The sequence below is a fragment of the Homo sapiens genome, chromosome 6, assembly GCF_000001405.40.
Source record: "Homo sapiens chromosome 6, GRCh38.p14 Primary Assembly".
Lineage (NCBI taxonomy): Eukaryota > Metazoa > Chordata > Mammalia > Primates > Hominidae > Homo > Homo sapiens.
The window spans coordinates 140,538,162-140,561,775 of NC_000006.12; the positions used below are offsets into that span (position 1 = coordinate 140,538,162).

The following is a 23,614-nucleotide window of genomic DNA, read 5'->3' on the forward strand; positions in this document are numbered from 1 at the left end:
ATAAAAGTTCAAAAATAGATGCCAATTACATTCAGCTTTAAGATTCAGACATTTGTCAGGGAGGGGGACTTGTGTATTCACATTGTTAGAATTAAGGAAGTACGTTCATGAACCAAAAATACAGAGCTCTATTTACTCGTCTAAAGTCAGGAAGGATCAAAAGGGTTTCCTAATACATTTTGACATGCTGGAAGTTTTTCCTTTGTTTTCCCACTTTATGTTTTTGCAGTACCTACCACCTTATATTGCATTCTTTGCTTGTCTGTCTCCCCTACTTAACTTTAAAGTCCTTGAAGACAGGCATTTGGGGTGCCTTAAATACTTAATGAATAATTGCAGAGTGAATGTTGAACGAAAATGAATGTAACTCATTCACATACTCTATGCTAAATTGAGAAATAAAAAGCTCAGACATTTTCACTCCATCTTATTCCCTTAAGAAACATCAATGTAAGAATTCGACAGACTGCTAATCTCTTTGTGAAGCTAATGACCAGCTTTAATTTTGCAAATTAAATATCCAGTTTCCCTGCCTTTTTCCCCATTGAAAAATAGTCCTATGTTGGTCATTTATATAGCTCATTATTTTGGACCTGGGGATAAAGCTACAGTCAGAAAGCACACAGCCTCAGGTTCTATAATATTGGAATTAGGGGTGAGAACATTTTCCCTTTATGTAAGAACTCTGTGGCTCTGGGCATTTCTACATAATTATTGATCAACCTTGAACCATAGTTTCTCAAAAAGTCATATAAATGGGAGAGGATTGAGGTAGAAGTATGTGATATATAATTTATTATCTAAATTTGGACACTTTTGTCTGGAAAGAAAAAGAAGAAAAGTAAAGAAAAACTGCCAGGATGCTGGGACAAGAGGTGCACCACATCCTGCTGGGGAAAGCAAACCAGAACATCAGGTCATCCTGGGTAGACACAACCTGAGCCAGTGAGCAACACTGCCCCCATTCCAGCTGATTTCTAGTGTAATTTTCCATCATCTGCCTTTTTAAATGTAGAAAGTCTTGATTCAGGCTTGACTGGAAGTATTAAATGTCTACCTCACTTTTGATAGGAAGAAGATGATTTTTCACCTAGTGGAGTCATTGAACAGTGGTCTTCAAATTGGGATTATTTCCAAGAATGTGAGTACAGACAGTTTTAACAGACTTAATTAAAGCTCCTCACTTACCACAATTACTCTTTTTTAGCATGATATTGTTTGTTTTTTGTTTAAACCCCTTAAGCCCCTTTCCTTAATATAATAGCTATTTACAAAAAATAAAAATCACTCATTCATCTCATCAGATATTTCAAATTACTCTTGTTGCCTTCATTAAAATCCCCTAATCCCACTACAGAAATTTGTGTTTTTCCCTGTCTTATACATATTTCTGTTAAGAAAGGAGCAGGGAATAAAAAATGATGTATTTCTGTCCTTGTAGACTGTTCTTAAATCAGATACATGGTAGATTATTGGTGGTAGAATTGATAGCAAATCTGATTTTATGGCCTCCTCTGTGCCAAACTACTGTTTCCAAAGGATGAATTGCTTTTGAAAATGAATTGCTAACTATAGATGTATAGTTAGCCTAGGCGCAGTGGCTCATGCCTGTAATCCCAGCACTTTGGGAGGCCTAGGCAGGCGGATCACTTGAGGCCAGGAGTTCGAGACCATCCTGGCCAACATGGCGAAACCCTGTCTCCACTAAAAAAAATTATCCGGGCATGTGGCATGTGTCTGTGATCCCAGCTACTCAGGAAGCTGAGGTGGGAGAATCACTTGAACCCTGGAGGCAGAGGTTAAAGTGAGCCAAGATCGCACCACTGCACTCTAGCCTGGGCAATGAAGAGAGACTCTGTCTCAATTAAAAAAAAAAAAAAAAAAAAAAAGTATAGTTAGAGTAACGCAATGAGCTGTCAGAAATAATAAACTTTTTAAAATGGCTTTTATTCACATATTTAATGTAAGCAATTTTAAATGTTATTTTCAATTCCTTTTCCTTAAATCCATCATTAGGAGGAAACAAAAGAATCTACAAATTTCCAGCATAACACAGATTACTTACTCTAACTTTTTAAATAGTAACTAGAGTCTATTTAGTACATCAAATTTTTTGAATTATGATGTACAAAAGTTGCAGATGAACAATTATTTATTTTAGGTGCGATATGCCTTTATTTGACATTGTAGATAAGTCTTACTTTGTCAAATGCTACTTGAAGTATTTAATTATAGAAAATCATCTTACCTCATTATAATTATGTGTTGAAATATATTCTACTTCCTATCAACAAATGAAATTTTAATGGTAAATGTTGGATTAATTATTTTATAGTAGCATGTCCCATTCCTTCCTGTAAATATACAATTTTTAAAATCATTATGTCTAATTAAAGTAAGGGGGGTATTCTTATTTAATTTTTTCCAGAAACTGAATGTCAGAGTTGAACACATGCATGAAGATATTTTCTGAAAGATTAATATATTATCATGTGCTTATATTCTTAGTCTATAATTTTTGCTTTTTGCTTCATTAAATTATTCCATATTAAATAATGAGGTATTACATGAAATTTACCCAACTTAAAATTAATTATTTTAAGTTCACATCATTTTAATTTTATTGAACTAATTTTAATAATTTATTTTACTACATATGTTCTAGAAGGCATTTTTGTTTTTTATATTCCTCAAGTGCATATTAACAAGTGCTTTTGATTTGAAAAAAATGAAGTGAAACTTTTTCTCATACAAAGTGTCTGATTTGACTAACCGGGATACTAGTGAGAACAGGAATTAATTCTGAAGTCACAATTTCAGACAAGTCCCTAACAACATCTAAGTCAGGAAACTCTCTGCTTTGACAAAACAAACAGTTTAAAGCACATGAAAAAATAAAAATATTTTATTAGGAAAACTGCATTGTCACAGATGTTACAGTATTTTTGTGTTCCCTAACAATTCTGAGATTATTGGGTTAAGCAAAGTGCCTAACAGTGAAAAGAATAATAGGTTTAATTAGTAGTGACTTGATTAGTCTTGAAAAAGTGGAGGTTTAACTTGGTGAAAGAAGCTATGAAGAAAGTTGCTGTTGCCTATTTCCTTCTAAAGTTGAGCATATATATGCTCTATATCCCAGAATTCTACGCTGAGATATGCACCCAAGAGAAACTCTTAAAACATGGTACCACCAGAGACCTGCATGAGAATATCATAACATCAGACACCTGGAAATAATTTGAACACCCCCTGTGGCAAACTAGATGAATAAACCGTGTGTCATTCTCACGTTGGCATGTTCTATAGTAGGCAAAATAAATGAACTTTAATAATGCACCGTAACATGGATGAAGCTTAGCAACAAACAAACTCCCAGTAAAGCTTTTGTGAACAGCTTTACAGAAATTGAAAGTGAATGACTTAAAAGCCGGGATCACCGAAGACACAAAAGCCTGAGAAATAACTCTGTATACAAGTCGCTGGTTTCAGATTCTAGGTTTTCAATACAAGTGAAACAATAGCTAACTTAATTATGTGTTGAAATACATAATGAAAAATAATATTTGATGATAGAACACATTTTTTACATTTTCCACATTTAAGAATTAGTTTAAAAAACTGGAATAGATTTCAGCTAATGAGAGTTTATTTTGCACTTACTGAACATACAGCAATATGCATTTTAGAATGTATATTACTTGATGGGAAAAAGTTTTCAATACCTGCGATTTTTAGCATAGATGGTATATAAAGAACTGTACATCTTTGTTAAGTAGCACAGCACTTTAAACTGGAATCTGCATAGTTTTCCAAGGTTGAATCTATTATTATCTTTGCAGCTAATTCAGATTAACCTGGAAAATATGATGATATTCATAATCATGTTTACCAGTCACGTGTGTAATATTTTAGAAATGGATTCAGTTTCAAGACATTGATTTTGTACAGATTAGAATGTTTTATTTTGGTACATTTTCAAGTAGTCTAGAAACAGTTCATACATGATGCAGTTCACAATATAAATCGTGTTTTGGAAATATATCCTAAAGAGAAAAATGTAAAGATACATATAAAACCAATACACCCTTCCTGAAACATAGGTATTGAAAACTTTTCCCTAGCAAATAAACATATTTCGTAAACCCAGAGCTCTGTTATTAAGAGCAAAACTATTTTAGGCTATTTAAGAACTATTGGAACTTCAACTACTGGGTCTGTAAGCAAATTAATTTTTCCACTTTTGAGAATTGTTTAAAAATTTTAGTATAGATTTCACTTAATGAGCACTTATTTTGCATTTACTGAATGTAGAGCAATATGCATTTTAGAACAACAAACACATAATTTAGTTTCTCCCTCATCTTTTTCTTAAGAAAGAAGCCAAAAATTTCTTTATTTTTACCAAGGTGTACAATAAAATGCTACAGTACTATGAATATACCGTACAGATGTCATTGTCTCTTTAGTCCTGGCAGAACCAGCCCCAGGCAAGATTGTGAAGGAGAAGATTGACATTGACATCACCAGACCTACTTTAGGCAGTTTTTTCCTCCTCTTCAGAATACTTTTTTTTTTTTTTTGCATCCTTCAGGAACTCTATATCATTGTGAAATTCCCTGACCCCTGCCAATTAAATTTGCTCTCAGTAAAGGGTTCAGTCTCACTTGTTCATTTCTCACTGTCCGTTTAAAGAAAGGTATTACTTTACCAGGGTTCTTGACATTTTACTCCTTTCTAATTGTGGAATCAGTGGCTTTGTCCTTTCGAAAGCCAGATCAACTACTAAAGTAAACTTGTCTTCTAATGTACAAGTCAAAGCTTCCCTGGCTGTGTGAGAAAAGAAAGAAAATGAAACTTACCAAAGAGTCATTTCTATAAGCAAACATGACTGATTGAGAGATTAATGCCCAATTAGTGATTCCTCAGTCACCAATTAAACCTTCTGATCACTCAGTCAATAATGATGGTGGTTACTGTACACAGGGCTTGTCATTGTTTGCAGATCTGTCTCTTAGCTTTATGACCAGTGCAACACATTGTTCAAACTGAGCCATGTCAACCTTAATCGTTTCACACTAAATAGCTCGTCTGCTGCTGTCATTCCCAGGTATTAATATTGATTCAAGCCCTCTACATTGTCTCCTTCTAGCCTTTCTTCTTTCCACATTTGATAGGATTATTTGCACTATTTCACTCCGTCATATAGCTACCATTTTAGCACTCAACAGTTTTCTGTGACCCTCATGTGATAAACCTACCTCTGGGAATCTAACTTCAGATTTCTGGATTGTAGACTTTGGCTGCTCCAATGCTTTAACTTAGATCTTTTCCTAATTTTTCTAGATTATCCATAAGGGAAAGATATACAGAGGTCCAGTGTAAGCATATGGTGAGCATCCATTCTTTAAATAGCCAAGGGTAATTCAGAAGCAGATTTTCCTGAAAATGAAAGGAAGAATAATATATACCTTTTGATTGATATCTCACTTTTATTTTTAAAAAGTTCCTGAAGAAGAAAACAAGTATCTGGTCACCACTACAAATTCATACTATATACAAATAGGAGTGGCATCTGGGGTTTACAGAAATTTGTAGGGAAGCACATTTGGTGTGTACAAAAAAGACCCACCAGGAGGGATGTTAAATAACATTGAGAAAGATGTATTTTTCTAAACCACTAAGGTGATTTTTATTTCTATTTTATATCTTTAATGTCTGCAAGGGAAATGTGTACAAGTTTACTAATACATGAGTATTACTATATGGAAGTAGATATGAATTACCATTATATATAAATACCTGTTCTGTCTGTCTCTCTTTCTCCTACCCACTTCTCTCTCTTTCTCCAGGGATTTCAGATTATAGTTCTACCTTTTGGGAAATTTTTCTAAGACTTGAAAAAGATTTGCATTTCTTCATACTTTAATGTTTTTAGTAGATACATGCAAATAAAACTAGCTCACAACATGAGGTTTAATTTCTATAACTTTTTCTTGATTTATAATCTGAAGTTGGTTTTGAACATGTGAGCTAAAAGAAGACTCTACATTGCATTACCAATCTGCTAAGCCATACAAGTTTCTGTCTATAATTATTTATGAAATTATATTAGAATATATGAAAATCAGCTTCATTTAAATTATTTATTTTAATATGTTTTCAAAAATGAAATTATACATTAAGGGTTCTAGCACATGACCTCCAGATGTACTCAATATAAAATTGATAAAGGAGTAATATAATTAAATATTCATTCATTAAGGAGATTACAGAGGGCAACAGTGATGTAAAGGATTGTATTAAATAGGGTTACATTAGTAAAAAAAAAAGTCCTCTCGTGCAATTATAATGATTATAAGCACTGGACATGCAAGAAACTTCCTTAACATGCCTGCAGAAATTCATTTAAAGGTTGTTATGTTGATGGATAATTATGTTCAGCTATTCAGTGACCTCCTCCCCGGGCCTGGCTCCAAGATGGAGATTCATGACTGATGCGCTTGAACTTGTCTGATTCAAGAGTTAGAAACTTTTTTTTTCTCTGAGTGCACCCTAACAGACTTTTGTAGTGATATAGCTATACCAAAACTTGGGTATGATTTAGTGTTTTTTAAATTACCATGAGATTTTACTTCCATATTTGTGCAACACATATTTTACCTCATCAAATAATCAACGTTTTTTTTGAGAGTCACCGCCATGTGCAATAGCCGATTCCCAAGTGAGAAATGTGGCATGCCATCTTCTCATTTAAAGTTCATACATACAGTACGTTTGAGGAGAACATTTCTTTAGGAAACTGCTTCTCTAAAGAGCCTAATTTGCACTTACGTACAGGGAAAGGAAACCATGACCCTTGCTATCACAATCTTCTTCCTACGCACTTCCAGAATCTTTCTTTTAGGAGGGTTTGGCAATATTTGTGGAACACTAAGCATGTGGTAGAGTGGATCTCTTTATAAAAAAGATGTAAAATGAGACACATCTGGATACTTGCATAATACATTCAGAGCAGTAACAATTAAAGCAATATCTTAACATTTAAGTAATGCAGAAATGCAGAGATTTGGACAAAACAACAAAGGCACACCTGAAGACCATCTTATTACAGGACATTTTTATGATGCTACAGAGACAATCTACTCAAATGTATTAAAACTAATAAAGGAGATAGCTTTTCTTTCATGGTGTGTATACACAAACACTGCAATATTAAGTTCATTGCTTTCATTGCAATGACTATTATGATGGTCATTATTTTAATTTTCAAATAAAAAGGTATTTTTAGAGTTCAGGTATATTAGTTTGCTAGGGTTTCTGTAGCAAAGTACCACAAACGAGTGACTTAACAGAAATTTATTGTCTTACAATCTGAAGGCAACAAGTCCAAAATCAAGGTGTGGGCAGGGTGGATCTTTCTGAGGCCTTTGAACAAAGGATCTGTTCCAGATTTCTGTCCTTGGCTTGTCAATGGCCATCTTCTCCCTATGGCATCTTCCTTTTATGCATGTCTTTGTGTACAAAATTCCCCTTATTGTAAGAACCCTAGTCATGTAGGATTAAGACCCACCTTAAAGACCTCATTTGATCTTAATGACCTCTGCAAAAACTCTATCTTCAGATAAGGTCACATTCTGAGGTATGGGTGTTAGGACTTCAACAGGTAAATTTTGGAGGAACACAATCCAATGCATGGCATATTTATGATATATAATTTAAATAGAATAAAATTCACTCTTTTTACCTATACACAATGCAATCAGCACTACAATTAGGATATACAATAGTTTAATCACTCCAACGTAGTCCCCTGAGCCTGTCAGTTGTCAGCCCTCCCTGTAATGCCAGTGCCTCATAACCACTGCTTTGTTTTATGTCCTGTGATTTTCTCTTTGCCAGAATATCATGAAAATAAAATTCTACATATATGGTCACTTAAGTCTGGCTTTTTTCACTAATAAGCATAATTATTTTGAGATTCATCCATATAGTTGCATGTATCAGTACATCATTTTGTTTTATTGCTGAGCAGTATGTCATTGTATGGATGTACCATAATTTTTTTATCCGTTCATTCATCAGTGGACATTTAGATTTTCCTATTTTTTAGCTATTCTAAAATAAACCTTATAAATATTCGGATATAGGTCTTTATGTGAGCATTTTAATTTTTAAAAATCTTCTTGGATGTCCAGGTGCGGCGGCTCATGCCTGTAATCCCAGCACTTTGGGAGGCTGAGGTGGGCGGATCACCTGAGGTCGGACGTTCGAGACCAGCCTGACCAACACGGAGAAACTCCTCCGTCTCTACTAAAAATACAAAATTAGCCAGGTGTGATGGTTCATGCCTGTAATTCCAGCTACTGGGGAGGCTGAGGCAGGAGAATTGCTTGAACACGGGAGGCGGAGGTTGCAGTGAGCCAAGATCGTGCCATTGCACTCCAGCCTGGGCAGCAAGAGCAAAGCTCCATCTCAAAAAAAATAAAATAAAATAAATCTTCTTGGGTTGGACAGCTTAGTCATATGGGAAGTATACAGTTAACTTTATAAGAAACCACAACACTACTTGCAAACTTGTCGCACCCTTTAGCGTACTCACCAGCAAGACATGAGTGTACTAATTATTTTCCATCTTTACCAGCAATTTGCATTTTATGTGCTTTGTTTGTTTAATTTTAGCCATTCTATTAGATTTGTTTCTGGTGTCTTCTTGTGGCTTAAATTTAAATTTCCCCAATGACTAATAATGTTGGACATTCTTGTGTGCTTATTTGCCAGTCGTGTTTATTCTTTTGTGAGGTGTCTGAAATGAAAACATTTCACTCATTTTTTATCATGCTGTTTGTCTTCTTACTATTGAGTTGTAAGAGTTCTTTTTATATTTTCTGTTAAATCATTGATCACACATCTTTTTTGAAGGTATTTCCAAGTTGTCAGTTGTTTTCATTTCCTTTACAGTGTCCTTAAAAGATAAGATTTTAATTTTGATGAAGTCAAAATTATCAAAATTTGTCTTTCATGTTTTTTCTGTCTATCTAAAATGTTGTCAAATATTTTCTTCTATGTCTGCTACTAAAATCTTTATAATTTTAGGATTTTCACTGTGACCTTGAATCAATTTTAATTAAATTTTTATATAATGTATTATAAAATTAAGGTAGGCTTATTATTTATATTTACTTCTTATTTATTTGTTATTGATTATGGATATCCAAATATTTTAGCAATATTTGTTGAAATTATTATATTTTCCCATTAAATTACCTTAGCAACTTTGTTAAAAATCACCCAATCATGTATATGTGCGTGTCATTCTAGAAATATTCTTCTTTCATTGCTCTATATGTTTATTGTTATACAAATACCACACTGTTTTAATTAATGTAGTTTTAAACTAAGCCTTAAAATAGTGCAGCATGAGTTTTCCAGCTCTTTTCTTATTTGAGATATAATTCACATACCATGAAAATCCCAGTTTTAATGTGTTACAATTCGATTTACAAGGTTGTACTACCGGCACCATTATCTAGTTCCAGAAAATTTTATCACTCCAAAAACAAACTCTGTAACCATTAGTAGTTACTCATCCCCTTCTATCCAGTTTTTGGTCTGAAAGATAGGTTGATGGGACCCTTGCTCTCATGGCTAAGGGGGTGGAACCCTTGGCCTCATAGGATGAGGAGGTGGGGCCACCTTCCTGTTTGGCTCAGGAACATCTAGCTACAGGGATTAGTCTCAGGCCTTGAAATCTAATAGAATGTACTTTTCTGGATTTCAGACTTGTTTGTGACTCTTTATTTTCTTATAATTTAACACTTTTGGAATGGGAATGTCTATTCTATACTTGTCCCACCATTGCATTTTTGAAGCGGATAGACTGTTTTCTAGGTTTCACCCATCCACAGATAGAGAAGAATTTTGTCCCAAAGTGGACCGTATACAGGGTCTCCCCTGTAGCTGATTTCAATGATCCAGAACATGAATTTCAGCACTTTTTGAATTAATTCTATTTAGATATCATCTTGGATTTATAGTTGATGCTGAAATGGATTAACACTTTTGGGGATATTGGGAGGGGGCGAATGTATTTTGCATGTGAGAAGCACATGAATATGGTGGAGGGGCAGATAGCTGGCAATTTTGGGTTAAACTGTGTCCTCCTAAAAAGATATGTTGAAGTGCTAACATGCAGACCTGTGAATATAACCTTATTTGGAAATAGGGTCTTTGCATATATAATCAAGATTATGTTTATATTGGATTAGGATAGAAGGGTTCCTTACAAGAAGAAGGGAATTTGAACACAGACACATGGGAGACATTCCATGTGAAGATGAAAGTACAGACTGGAGTGATGTGTATACAAGCCAAGAAACACCAAGGATTGCCAGGAGCTATTAGAACCCAGAAGAGGCCAGGAAGGATAATCCTCTAGGGACTTTAGAGAGAGCGTGGCTCAGCCAACACTTTTATCTCAGACTTGTAATCTCCAGATATGTGAAAAACAAATTTCTGTTGTTTTGAGTCACCAAGTTTGTGTAACTTGTTTCTGTAGCCTGAGAAGTTATTAAAAAGAAAGAAAACAAAATTTACTTTTATTCTTATGTTAGCCATTTCCAGTGCTCCTTATTCATTCTTATAAATATATATTTCAATTTGATATTATTTTTCTTGTTCCAGAATGACTTCCTTAAATATTTTTTGTACTGTTAATGTGATGGCAATAGATTCCCTTTGCTTCTTTTCTTTTTTTCTGTTGATTCTTTATGGGTATATAGTTGGAGTAAATATTTGTGGGTTACATGCAATATTTGGATCTAGGCATGCAATGTGTACTAATCACATCAGGGTAAATGGGGTATCCATTACCTCAAGCACTTATCCTTTGTGTTACAAACAATCCAATTATACTCTTTCAGTTATTTTAAAATGTACATTTAAATTATTTTTGACTATAGTCCTACTGTTGTGCTAGCAGGTCTTATTCATTCTTTCTATATTTTGTACCTATTAACCATTCCCACTTCTCCCCCATTCCCTCTGGTAACCATCCTTCTGCTCTCTAACTGTCTCCATGAGTTCAATTGTTTTCATTTTTAGCTCCTGCAAATAAGTAAGACCATGTGAATTTTCTTTGTGTTCCTGGCTTATTTCACTTAACCCAATGACCTTGAGTTCCACCCGTGTTGTTGCAGATGACAAGATCTCATTCTTATTTTTATGGCTGGATGGTACTTTATTGTGTATATGTACCACATTTTCTTTATCCATTCATCAGTTGATGGACACTTAGATTGCCTCCAAATCTTGCATATTGTAAATAGTGCTGTAACAAACATAGGAGTGCATGTATCTCTTCAATATACTGATTTCCTTTCTTTTGGGTATATACCTAGGAGTGAGATTGCTGCATTGTATGGTAGCTGTATTTTTATTTTTTTTGAGGAACCCCAAACTCTTCTCCATAGTGGTTGTACTAAGTTTCATTCCCACCAACAGTGTACAGGGGTTCCCCTCTCTCCATATCCTTGCCAGCATTTGTTATTGCCTGACTTTTGGATAAAAGTCATACTAAATAAGGTGAGATGATATCTCATTGTAGTTTTGATTTGCATTTCTCTGATGATCAATGATGTTGAGCACCTTTCTATATATTTGTTTGCCATTTATCTATATTATTTTGAGAAATATGTATTCAGGCTTTTTGCCCATTTTTAATTCAATTATTGTATGTTTTCCTATAGTGCCGTTTGAGTTCATTATGTATTCTGGTTATTAATCCCTTGTCAGATGGGTAGTTTTCAAATATGTTCTTCCATTCTGTATGTTGTCTCTTCACTTTGTTGATTGTTTCCTTTGCAGTGCTGAAGATTTTTAAATCAACGTAATCCTATTTGTCCATCTTTTCTTTGGTTGCTTATGCTTGTAAGGTATTACTCAAAAAAATCTTTGCCCAGTTCAACGTCCTAGAAGCTTTCCCCAATGTTTTCCTTTAGTAGTTTTATAGTATGAGGTCTCAGACATAAGTCTTCAGTCCATTTTGATTTGATTTTTGTATATGGTGAGAGATAAGGGTCTAGCTTCATTCTTCTGCGTATGGATATTCAATTTCCCCAACATTACTTATTGAAGAGATGATCCTTTCCCCAATATATGTTCATGGCACCTTTGTCAAAAATGTGTTCACTGTAGATGAATAGATTTATCTCTGGAATCTCTATTCTGTTTCATTGATCTGTGTGTCTTTTTCATGCCCGTACCATGCCATTTGGGTTACTACAGTTCTGTAGCATAATTTAAAATCAGGTAATGTGATTCCTCCAGTTGTTTTTGTTTTTGTTTTTGCTCAGGATAGCTTTGGCTATTCTGGGTCTTTGTGGTTTCATATAAATTTTAGGATTGCTTTTTGTCTAATTTTCCCATAAGGGTAATACTGACCTTATAGAATGAGTTTGGAAGTATTCCTTCCTCCTCTATTCTTCAGAATAGTTTGGGCAGCATTGGTATTAGTTCTTTAAATGTTTGATAGAATTCAGCAGTGAAGCCATTGTGTCCTGGGGCATTTTTTATTACAACTTTGATCTTGTTACTTGTCATTAGTCAGTTCAGACTTTGGATTTCTTCATGGTTCAATCTTGGTAGGTTGTATGTATCTAGGAATGTATCAATTTCATTTTATATTTTCAAATCTATTGGCATATAGTTGCTCATAGTAGCCATTAGTTATCATTTGAATTTCTGTGGCATCAATTATATCTTTTTTTGGTCTCTTATTTTATTTATTTGGGTCCTCTTTCTCAGTCTGGATAGAGGCTTGCCAATTTTGTTTATCTTTCCAGAAAAACAACTTTTTATTTCATTAATCTTTTACATTGCTTTCTTCATTTCAAATTCATTTATTTCTCTTCTGATTTTTATTATTACTTTTCTTCGACTAATTTTGGGTTTGGTTTGCTCTTGCTTTTCTAATTCTTTAAGTTACATTGTTGGGTTGTTCGTTTGAAGTTTTTCTTCCTTTTTGATGTAGGCACTTACAGCTGTAAACTTTCTGGCTCACGCCTGTAACCCTAGCACTTTGGGAGGCCGAGATGGGCGGATCACGAGGTCAGGAGATCAAGACCATCCTGGCTAACATGGTGAAACCCTGTCTCTACTAAAAATACAAAAAAATTAGCCAGGCATTGTGGCGGGTGCCTGTAGTCCCAGCTACTTGGGAGGCTGAGGCAGGAGAATGGTGTGAACCCAGGAGGAGCTTGCAGTGAACCAAGATTGCGCCACTGCACTCCAGCCTGGGCAACAGAGCGAGAGCAAGACTCCGTCAAAAAAAAAAAAAAAAAAAAAAAAAAAAACTTCCATTGTTATTAGTTTTAAGAAATTTTTCAATTTCCTTCTTAATTTCTTCATTGACCTATGGGTCATTCAGGAGCATATTGTTTAATTTCGATGTATTGGTATAGTTTTCAAAATTTCTCTTGTTACTGATATCTAGGTTTTTATTCATTGTGGTCAGAGAAGATGGTTGATATGATATTATTTCAGTTTTTGAATGTTTTAAGACTTGTTTCTTGACCTAAGACATAGTCTATTCTTGAGAATGATCCATGTGCTGAGAAAAAGAATGTGTATTCTGCAGCTGTTGAATGATATGTTCTATAAATATGTATTAGGTCCATTTGGTCTATAGTGCAGATTAAGTCCAATCTTTCTTTGTTGATTTTCTGTCCAGATGATCTATCCAGTGTTGAAAGTGGGATGTTCATGTCTCCAGCTATTATTGTATTGGGGTCTGTCTCTCTTTTTAGTCCTAATAATATTTTATTTATATATCTGGGTGTTCAGTGTTGGGTGAATATATACTTACCATTATTATATCCTCTTGCTGAACTGACCCCTTTATCATTATATAGTGACCTTCCTCGACTCTTGATAGTTTTTGCCTTGCAGTCTATTTTGTCTAATGTTTGTGACTCTTGCTCTTTTTTGGTTTCCATTGGCATGAAATATCTTTTCTCTATCCCTTTATTTTCAGTTCGTGTGTGTCTTTACAGGTGAAGTGTGTTTCTTATAGGCAACAGATTATTGGATCTTTTTTTTTTAATCCATTCAGCCACTCTATGTATTTGATTGCAGAGTTTAGTCTATTTGCATTCCACATTGTTATTGATAAGTAAAGACTTACTCCTGCCACTTGGTTATTTGTTTTGTGGTTGTTTGTAGTGTTATCTTCCTTCTTTCCTTTCTGCCTGTCTTTTTTTTAGTGAAAGTAATTTTCTTTAGTCGTATCATTAACTTTCTTGTTCTTTATTTTTTTGTGTATCTGTTGTATGATTTTTGATTTGAGATTATCAGAAGGCTTGCAATTGTCTTATAACTGTTTATTTTAAGCTGATAACAATTTAACACTCTTTGCATAAATAGATAAGCAAACTAACAAGCAAAAAGAAAACTAATAACTCTACACCTTAATTTTGTCGCCTTGCTTTTTTTTTCAATTGTTATTTATTTATTTATTTATTTACTTATTTTTTTGAGTACAGATGGAGGTTCCCAATGTTGGCCAGGCTGGTCTCAAACTCCTGACCTCAAGTGATGCCCTCACTTTGATCTCCCACAGTGCTAGGATTGAAGGCATGAGCCACCGTGCCCAGCCTGATGTCTCCCTGCTTTTTAACTTTTTATTGTTTCTATTTATATCTTTGTGTACTGCCTATGTCTCAAAATGTTGTAGTTATTATTTTGGATTAGATTATCATTTACTATTTCTGCTTAAGACAAGAGTAGGTTACACACCACAGTTACAGTATTATAACAGTGTTATAGTATTCTTTGTTTTTCTGTGTTCTTATTACTAATAGTGAGTTTTGTACCTCTAGATAATTTGTTATTGCTTATTAATGCCATTTTCTTTCTGATTTAAGTACGTCCTTTAGCATTTTTTGTAGAACATATCTGGTGTTGATGAAATCTCTCAGCTTTTGTTTGTCTGAGAAAGTCTTTATTTCCCCTTCATGTTTGAAAGATATTTTCACCAGACATACTATTCTAGGGTAAAATATTTTTTCCTTGAACTCTTTAAATATGTCATGCCACTCTCTCCTGGCCTGTAAGTTTTCCACAAAAAAGTCTGCTGCCAGACGTATGAGAGCTATACTGTATGTTTCTTTTCTCTTTCTGCTTTTATACTCCTTTCTTTATCCTTGACCTATGGGAGTCTGAATATTAAATGCCTTGAGGTAGTCTTATTTGGGTTAAATCTTCTTGGAGTTCTATAACCTGGTACTTAGATATTGTTATCTTTCTCTAGGTTTGGGAAGTTCTCTGTTATTATTCCTTTGAATAAATTTTCTACCCCTATCTCTTTCTCTACCTTCTCTTTAAGGCCAATAATTCTTAGGTGTGTTCTTTTGCAGCTATTTTCTTAATCCTGTAGGTGTGTTTGATTGTTTTTTATTCTATTTTCTTTTATCTGCTCTGACTGTGTATTTTTAAAGAGCCTGTCTTCAAATTGACTAATCTTCAGCACCATTAATTCCATCATTAAAAGACTCTGATGCATTCTTCAGTATATCAACTGCATTTCTCAACTCCAAAATTTCTGCTTGATTCTTTTAAATTATTTCAACCTCTTTGTTAAATTGTCTGATAGAATTTTGAATTCCTTCTCTGTGTTATCTTGAATTTTTTTGAGTTTCCTCAAAACAGCAGTTTTGAATTGTGTGTCTGAAAAGTCACTTATCTCTGTTTCTCCAGGCTTGGGCCCTGGTGCCTTATTTAGTTCATTTGGTGAGGTCATATTTTCCTGGAGGATCTTGATGCTTGTGGATGTTCATCTGTGCCTGGGCATTAAAGGGTCAGGTATTGTAGTCTTCACAATCTGGGCATGTTTATTTCGTCTTTCTTCTGAAAGTTTTCCAGGTATTTGAAAAAACATGAGTATTGTGATCTAAGCTGTGTCTACATTAGAGGACACCCCAAGCCCAGTAATGCTGTGGTTTCTTGCAGAAACATAGAGGTACCACCATGATGGTCTCAAACAAGAGCTGAGAGAATTCTCTGGATTACCAGGAAGAAACTCTTGTTCTCTTCCCTTACTTTATCCCAAGCAAATGGAGTCTATGTCTTTCTTTACTGAGCTACCTGGAGCTGCGGTTTGGGTGAAACATGCACCCCTGTGGCCACCACCACCAGGACTGCACTGGGTCGGATCTGAAGCCAGCACAGCACTGGGTCATGCTCAAGGCCTGTGGTAACCACTATGTGGATACTGCCTATGTTCGCTGAAGGCTCTGGGGCTCTACAATCAGCAGGTGACAAAGCCAGCCATGCCTGTGTCCTTCCCTTCAGGGTGGCGAGGTCCCCCCAGGCTGTGGGTGGGTCCAGAGGTATGGCATCAGGCCTGGCATCAGAAATCTTAGAAGTATACCTGCTGTTCTATTGTCATATGTCTGGGCAGGCACTCAAACCACAAGATACAATTCTTCACATTCTTCTCTCCCCTTTTCACAGGCAGAGGATCCTCACTCTGCTTTCACCACCATCACAGGCCCATAGATAGTAATGCTCAGGTACTACTGATGTTCCCTTCAGGTCTACAGGCTCTTCACTCAGTTTTTGGTGAATGTTGCCTAGCCTGGGTCTCACCCTTCAGGGTAGTGCATTCTCCTTTGACCCAGGAAAGATCCAGGAATGCCACTGCAGAGCCAAAGCTTGGAATTGGGAGCCCCAAGCGTCTGCTTGGTACTCTACACTCCTGTGACCGAGTTGGTACCTAAGATGCAAGACACAGGCCCCTTTACTTTTCCCTCTGCTTTTCATAAGCAAGTGTCTTTCACCATAGTCACTAGAGTTGGGAATGTACCGTGTTTCATCTGAAGCCAGCAAGTCTCAGTCTCAGCCATGGCATTATTACGTTGGTATTGCTGCTGCTTATTCGGGGCCCAACGATTCTTTTTTTTTTTTTTTTTTTTTTTTTTTGAGACAGAGTCTTGCTCTGTCGCCCAGGCTGGAGTGCAGTGGCCCCATCTCGGCTCACTGCAAGCTCCGCCTCCCAGGTTCACGCCATTCTCCTGCCTCAGCCTCCAGAGTAGCTGGGACTACATGCGCCCGCCACCACGCCCGGCTAATTTTTTATATTTTTAGTAGAGAAGAGGTTTCACCGTATTGGCCAGGATGGTCTCAATCTCCTGACCTCATGATCCACGAGGGATCCCAGCCTTGGCCTCCCAAAGTGCTGGGATTACAGGCATGAGCCACCGCGCTTGGCTGGCCCAACGATTCTTTAGTCAGCAGGTGATAGGTCCTGCCAGGACTGAGTCCTTTCCTTCAAGGTAACAGGTTCTCTTCTAGGCCAGGGTATGTCTAGAAATGTCACCTGAGAGCTAGGGCCTAGAAAGGGGGCCTCATGCCCCCTTTCACTATCAGTGAAAGTAAATATCAGACTTAATTCTACTACACATACCGTCATTTAGTAATCATATATTAAAAAAAACTATTTATAAGGGCCTATACAATTTATTTAATCTTGATGAAGTCTATTGCTTTGGAATTGCATGTGTTCTGACAATACCTCGCATAAGGTGTTCAATTTCGTCAGATATGGTAATATCATAGAAGTCCACTTAGGTTACCCTTATAGTCAGCATAAAGTAACCAGGAATCCTCCAATCTGATGTTTGAAAGTAAGACTAGCAGAAATCCTTTGGCCACCATGCCTGTATTACCCTATTTTAGCTGATACAATAAAATGCCATAAACTTGGTAGCTTATGAATAACAGAAATTTATTTCTCACAGTTCTGGAGTCTGGGAAGTCCAAGATCAAGGTGCAGGCAAATTTCATGTCTGGTTAGGGCCAGCATCCTGGTTCATAGATCACCATCTTTTTACTATGACCTCACATGGCAGAAGAAGCCAAGGAGTTCTCTGTGGCCTGTATTATAAGAGCACTAATCTCATCAGTGAGGGCTCCCACCTTTATGACCTAATTAACTAAAAAAAACTACTTCTTCAAATACCATCACCTTGGGGATGAAGTTTCAACATATAAACTTTGGGATGACACAAACATTGTCTATAGTGATCTCAAGGGGTAAAGTCTCTAGGCCTGGATGGACTCCTAATTTACATCTTATTTATATAAATTTGAGCAGCAGCTTGAAAATATGTTATCCAAAGCACATAGCTCAAGTATTTTTAAGTTAATATAATATCTCATTTTTATTATTCAACATGTTAATGTTAGTTCATATTCAAAGTGTTAGTAAACCAAACAGTTTAGCAATAAAACCTCTTTCTGCTATAATGTTAGCTGACGCTTCTAGAATGAGGAATCTCTATTTGGGAAATGGACTATAACTAGAACTTCCTAGACAAGTGAAGAATATAGCATAATAGCTTGATGGACACTTTTTTAAACTGATTAATTAGTGAAGGAAGTGAAGAAAATACCATAATAGCATAAAAACTTTTGATTTATTAATTAGTATAAGGCTTTGAGATGAATTTATAAGGAGTAGGGAGAAATTCTCTTTCTCCATTTTTGTCTCATAAATGTGTTTGTAAAGTACTATTCCCTTTTATATTTTCCTTTCACTTTTATAATTATTCTGAACTTTGATGAAGGAAGCTGCTACTTACTTATAAGGCATTTATATTGTCAGGAGATTGTGTGTAATCCTTAAGGGACTACCTAGGTATAATTTATAGTGTGCTGCTCTGAGAGTGGGGTAAATAAATCCATTTTTGTTTTATAGTCAAATTAGCAAAGAAAGCTTCATTTTTGAGAATTTGATACTAAGTACATCAGTTATATATATATCACCATAAGGAGTAATTGTCATCTTCATATCACAATTTTTGTAACTAAAAATATATAATCTATGCTCCTGTTTGAATGTGAGCATATTTAGATTTTCTTTAAAATGATTAATTAACTAAGCAAATATTTATAGAATTTTTACTATAAATTCGGTGAATCCGTGTCCTAGACAAGGAAAAATGAATCTTCAAAAGAGTCCCCTATCCAAAGCGGAGGGGATGGGGGAAAGTGGAGAGAAGAAAAAAGGGTGTTTTTAAAAGTGCTAAACAAACTGATTTTAGCTAATGCAAAATGGCGGCTGAGGCGAGTATAGATATTTCAAGTAACACTTGGAACAAAGAATTGACTGAGTCAAATTCACCCGGTTGGTCCCAGGCAAGCTTTAAACATTTTCTTGATGGCTGGATTGTAAGCCTGATGTGGAGTAATTCAGCTTAGTTACAAACATTCACCTTCAGAAGTAAATTTATTCTATATGATACTACATCAGTCAAAAAATCCTGGATGATTTTTGTCCGAATTGTATGAGCTCTTAGCTAAATGTAACCAAGTGACTAATGTTGGCCAATGAGATGTATTTTAAAATGCAAGCCTTTGTGAGGACTACTTAAAATTGATATCTCAGGCAGAAAGTACTTTTTGACCGGTCCACTTATTTCCTCCTTTAGGCTTGGACCTGTAATGTAATGGCTGATGCTTCAACCTTTATGGTCCTTAAGATGATACGAAGTTATAACCACAAGTTAGAAAGGTGAAAAAAGGACAAGAGTAGGCTGGCTCTCTGATGATTATAGTTGCCCATATCAGCCCTGTTCTGTTCACCTTCAGAGTCTTCTCCATGAGAGACAAATAAAGATTTCATTTGCTTTTAGGCCAGTACAATTCTTAATTCATTCATCAGACTAGAAAAATAAAGGAATATCTTAACACTTTACCAAAATCTCTGTTATTTTCTCCTTCTTGCACCATAGAAAATATTTCTATGCAGTTTTCAACTTTACTTATGGGCAGAAATTTCAGAATCCCATTGAATTTCAGGGATTGGGTCACTGCCTTCGTGCAGTAGTAACAATGACAATGAAGAGAGTCTTATGGTTTCTTCCATTTCCCCAATGTCTCTTATTTTGTATCCTCTGATGTTAAACAGAGCATCTATACAAAACCTTCTCTTCGTACCGATCTTCCCTTTGTTGTCCATTTCTTCCCGTCATCATTAATCTCTCCAATTTCTTTTTAAGACATCATATGAGCTTCTTTCTAACATTAATCTTTCTTTTATTTTCTCAATATTAGACTTTACTCTTTCCTAACTCAAGATGGGTTGCTGATGGAATATGAATTAGTTTCCTAAGGCTGCTGAAAAAAACTACTACAAGCAGGGTAGCTTAAACAATATTTATTCTCTCACAGTTCTGGAGGCCAGAAGTCAATACTTGAGTTGTTGGCAGGGCATGCTTTCTGAAGGCTCTAAGGGAAAGTCTATTCTATGGCTCTCTCTCTTAGCTTCTAGTTTTGCTGGCAATGCTTGGCACCCCTTGACAGGTAAATGCATCACTCTCATTTCTACCTCTGTCATCATGTGGCATTCTCCCTGTGTGTCTCAATCTGTTCCTCTCTTTTCTCTTCTTATAAGGCCACCAGTCATCTTGGACTAAGGCTCAATCTAAATAGGTATGAACTTTGTGTAACTTGAGTACATCTGTGAAGACACTATTGCCAAATAAGGTCACATTCACAGGTACCAGAGGTTAGGACTTCAATATATCTGTTGGAGGGACACAATTCAAAATGTGAATTCGGCCACTATGACTGCCATGAATGCCACTATCCAGAGAGGGATGGTCAGCTGTGGATCTGCCTTTGGTTTAGAATTACTGCAGCAGGATATACTTTGAATGGTCATCAAGGATACAGAGTAGTTAAGGATTATGGAGTAGTTACCATGTGACAGGTGTTGTACTAAGCTCTTTCCCAAAAATACGCTTTATTTGCCTAGTATTTTTAAATACATCTGAAATAAATAAAATCAAAAGTATAGAAATTGATTCAATAACCTTGTTTTTTTTAAACAATAAGAGCAAAAATCTTGAAATAAAAAATAGATGAAATGAGAACTTAGCAATTAAATAAGACTAAGATATACCAATCTGTTGCTGTGTATGGACCTTATTTGAATTCTGATCAAACAAACTGTAATAAAAATTATGATACAATTGAGAAAATTTGAACATTAATTAGATAACTGGTGACATTAAAGTAATTAGTGTTAATTTATCTTAGATGAGATAATGATTAAATGTTATTTTTATAAAAAGGGCCCTAATTTTGTAGAATTATATACTGAAATATATACAGATAATCATGGTCCAATGGTTGTTCTTTCATTCATAATCTTTCTTAGGGAGCTATATATGTAGAAAATTGACCATTAATTGATAATTGTAAACATTGAATTATGACCACATGGAGATTGATCATATTCTTCTCAATTTGTGCATATTTTTGTAACTTTCATAATAAACAGAAGAAATGACTAGAAAATAACCTTTAATCTGTACATATAAAAACCATGTCTTAATAAGAAACTATTTTCTTTACCTGAAAAAATTTTAAAACAACACAATTATATAAAGCTTTGAGTTTAAAATGTTTTAACATTCTTTTAATGATGATATTGCATTAAATCTACATAACAACCAACAGATAATTAGGTGAGGGTATCAGCTGAATGTTTTCAAAAAAATAAAAGCTGAGCCATTCCTTTTAACCAATTGTAAAATCAAGTTCAAATTCCATTTCTTCAGGATTTTTAAATGGACCAGTAAGTCTTAGAACTACCTTTCTAGCACCCCAAACTGCATTTTTCATTTCATTTAAAAATCACTTAATTTTTTCAGTAAGTGTTTTTGAGTATGTGTGACTTGACTTATCAGAAAGCAAATATGGGTATCTGCTTATATGGAATACTCATTCACAGCTTACTTGCTGATGTTTAAATATTCTTTTGATACAGAGAAGAAACACTTTCTCCAGAAAAAAATTAACAATAAAAAATAGAAAAAGGAAAGTTAACTTAAAATCACATGAAAGAGTAATTTATGGGAAAGGAAAGAGGTGAGAATGTATTCGTTACTAGGAATTTGAAAGTAAGGAGTGTAAGAAACATGAGGATAGTTCAGAAAAAGTGAAGGGTTAGTAGAATGGAGGAGGCTAGGGTCAGACTCAGGTTCATGGCTCAGGCAAGATATGAAGTAGGCCAATTTCGCCAAGGACCTCAGCTTCCTGGCTTCTGCCACTACCCAGTGTAGCCAAATGTAGACAGACATAAAGGGTAAAACCATTTTTTTTTTCAGTTATCAAAAATATTACTTTATTTACTTAAGAAACAGCATGAAGGCATACATATTAAAAAAGAATTTTCTTGTGATATGTCTTGCCATCTGGAAAATTCCTGTGGGGAATTATATAATCTCTTTTTCCCTCAAATCTTAATCTCTTTTCTCATAAAAATTGTGGATATTTCAAGCCTGAGAAAGGTAATATAAATGAGGCTTTTGTGTATTAAACTCACCAAGAGTCAATTTATAAGGTTGCCAAAGATTTGGAGAAACAAAATATACCTTTCTTTAAATAATTTCTTAAAATATTCAAATATAGGAATAGTAGAATAATTTCCCCTTTGCCTTGGCAGTTAATGTAAACTCAAAAACATTTTAAAAATAATGGATCTTAGAGGAAATTTTCCAGTGAATGTTTGTGACATTGGAGATGGAAATATGCAAGGTTCTGGGGCCTGATATTCTTGATATAAGGGAGCTATGGACATCAAAGAAGATAAATGGTCATAAATTACAGTGAGCAAAAGATTTACAGGAATTTTGTCAATTACTCCCTTGTCTTGGAAGAAATTCTGGAAAGGCCACACATTTTGTGACTGTAAACGGTCCTTTTGTATAGCAGGGCTAAGATGCCATGCCATGCCAAGCAACTCAAGAGTTCCCATTCTCTCTTTTTTTGTTTGCTTGTTTGTTTGTTTTTAAAAGAAGAAAAAGAAAATAACAAAAAAATACAATTTAAAAAGTTTTATGTATATAACTGGATCAATTATATAATGGGTATAAGAAAATAACTGGGAAACAGTGTGGTACAATGGTTAAAAGTCCAGGATTTTAGAGTAAGGTCATCTGGCTTCAAATACCACCTTAGTCTTGATCCACCTGTATCGCTAGGACTTGATCTTCTCATGTCAGAAAAGGAGTTAAAATGGGTTAAAAAGAAGTTGAGATGTGATAATGCAGGTACAGTGCTTAGCATGGTACCTCCCTTATATTAATTCCTCAAGAAATGTTAGTATTTATCATCATTATTATTTACCTATTATTCATATTGTCATTATTAGTTGGTGCTAACAAAATGACAAAATTTTTGATGGTAAAACAATTTTATGACAAACTTGGAATACCTTTTGGATTTTCAGTGGAATTCACGAATTTAAATTTTAATTGGTAAAGTGGCTATCAAATTGATCTCTGATATCTCTGTGTGATTATTTTTTCCTATATAACCATTGCCATGTAACATATTACTCCTTGTCGGATTAAGCACTCACTGGCTAACCTCTCCAGGTTAGGGTTAAATTACATATAAATACGAAGTTGTACAGGTTTACTCTATGATTCTTAAATGGAAGAGTGGATCTGGGGTAGGGAGCCGTATTTCTCAATGATCGATAAAAACAGATATATAATCACATTCTCTGTCTTTCTTCTTAAGGATCAAAAATTCCAATTGTCTACAG

General features: G+C 35.0%; 1 long non-coding RNA gene across 5 annotated transcripts in view; it reads left to right on the forward strand.

The window, feature by feature from the left end:
* The first annotated feature begins 328 nt into the window (after positions 1-328).
* Positions 329-23,614, forward strand: part of LOC105378027 (uncharacterized) — a 246,946-nt gene continuing 223,660 nt past the window's right edge. For all 5 annotated transcript variants that reach the window (XR_001744387.3, XR_001744385.2, XR_007059791.1 and 2 more), the window contains exon 1: positions 329-1,141. This is a non-coding gene — a long non-coding RNA (uncharacterized LOC105378027). The remainder of the gene's footprint in view (positions 1,142-23,614) is intronic.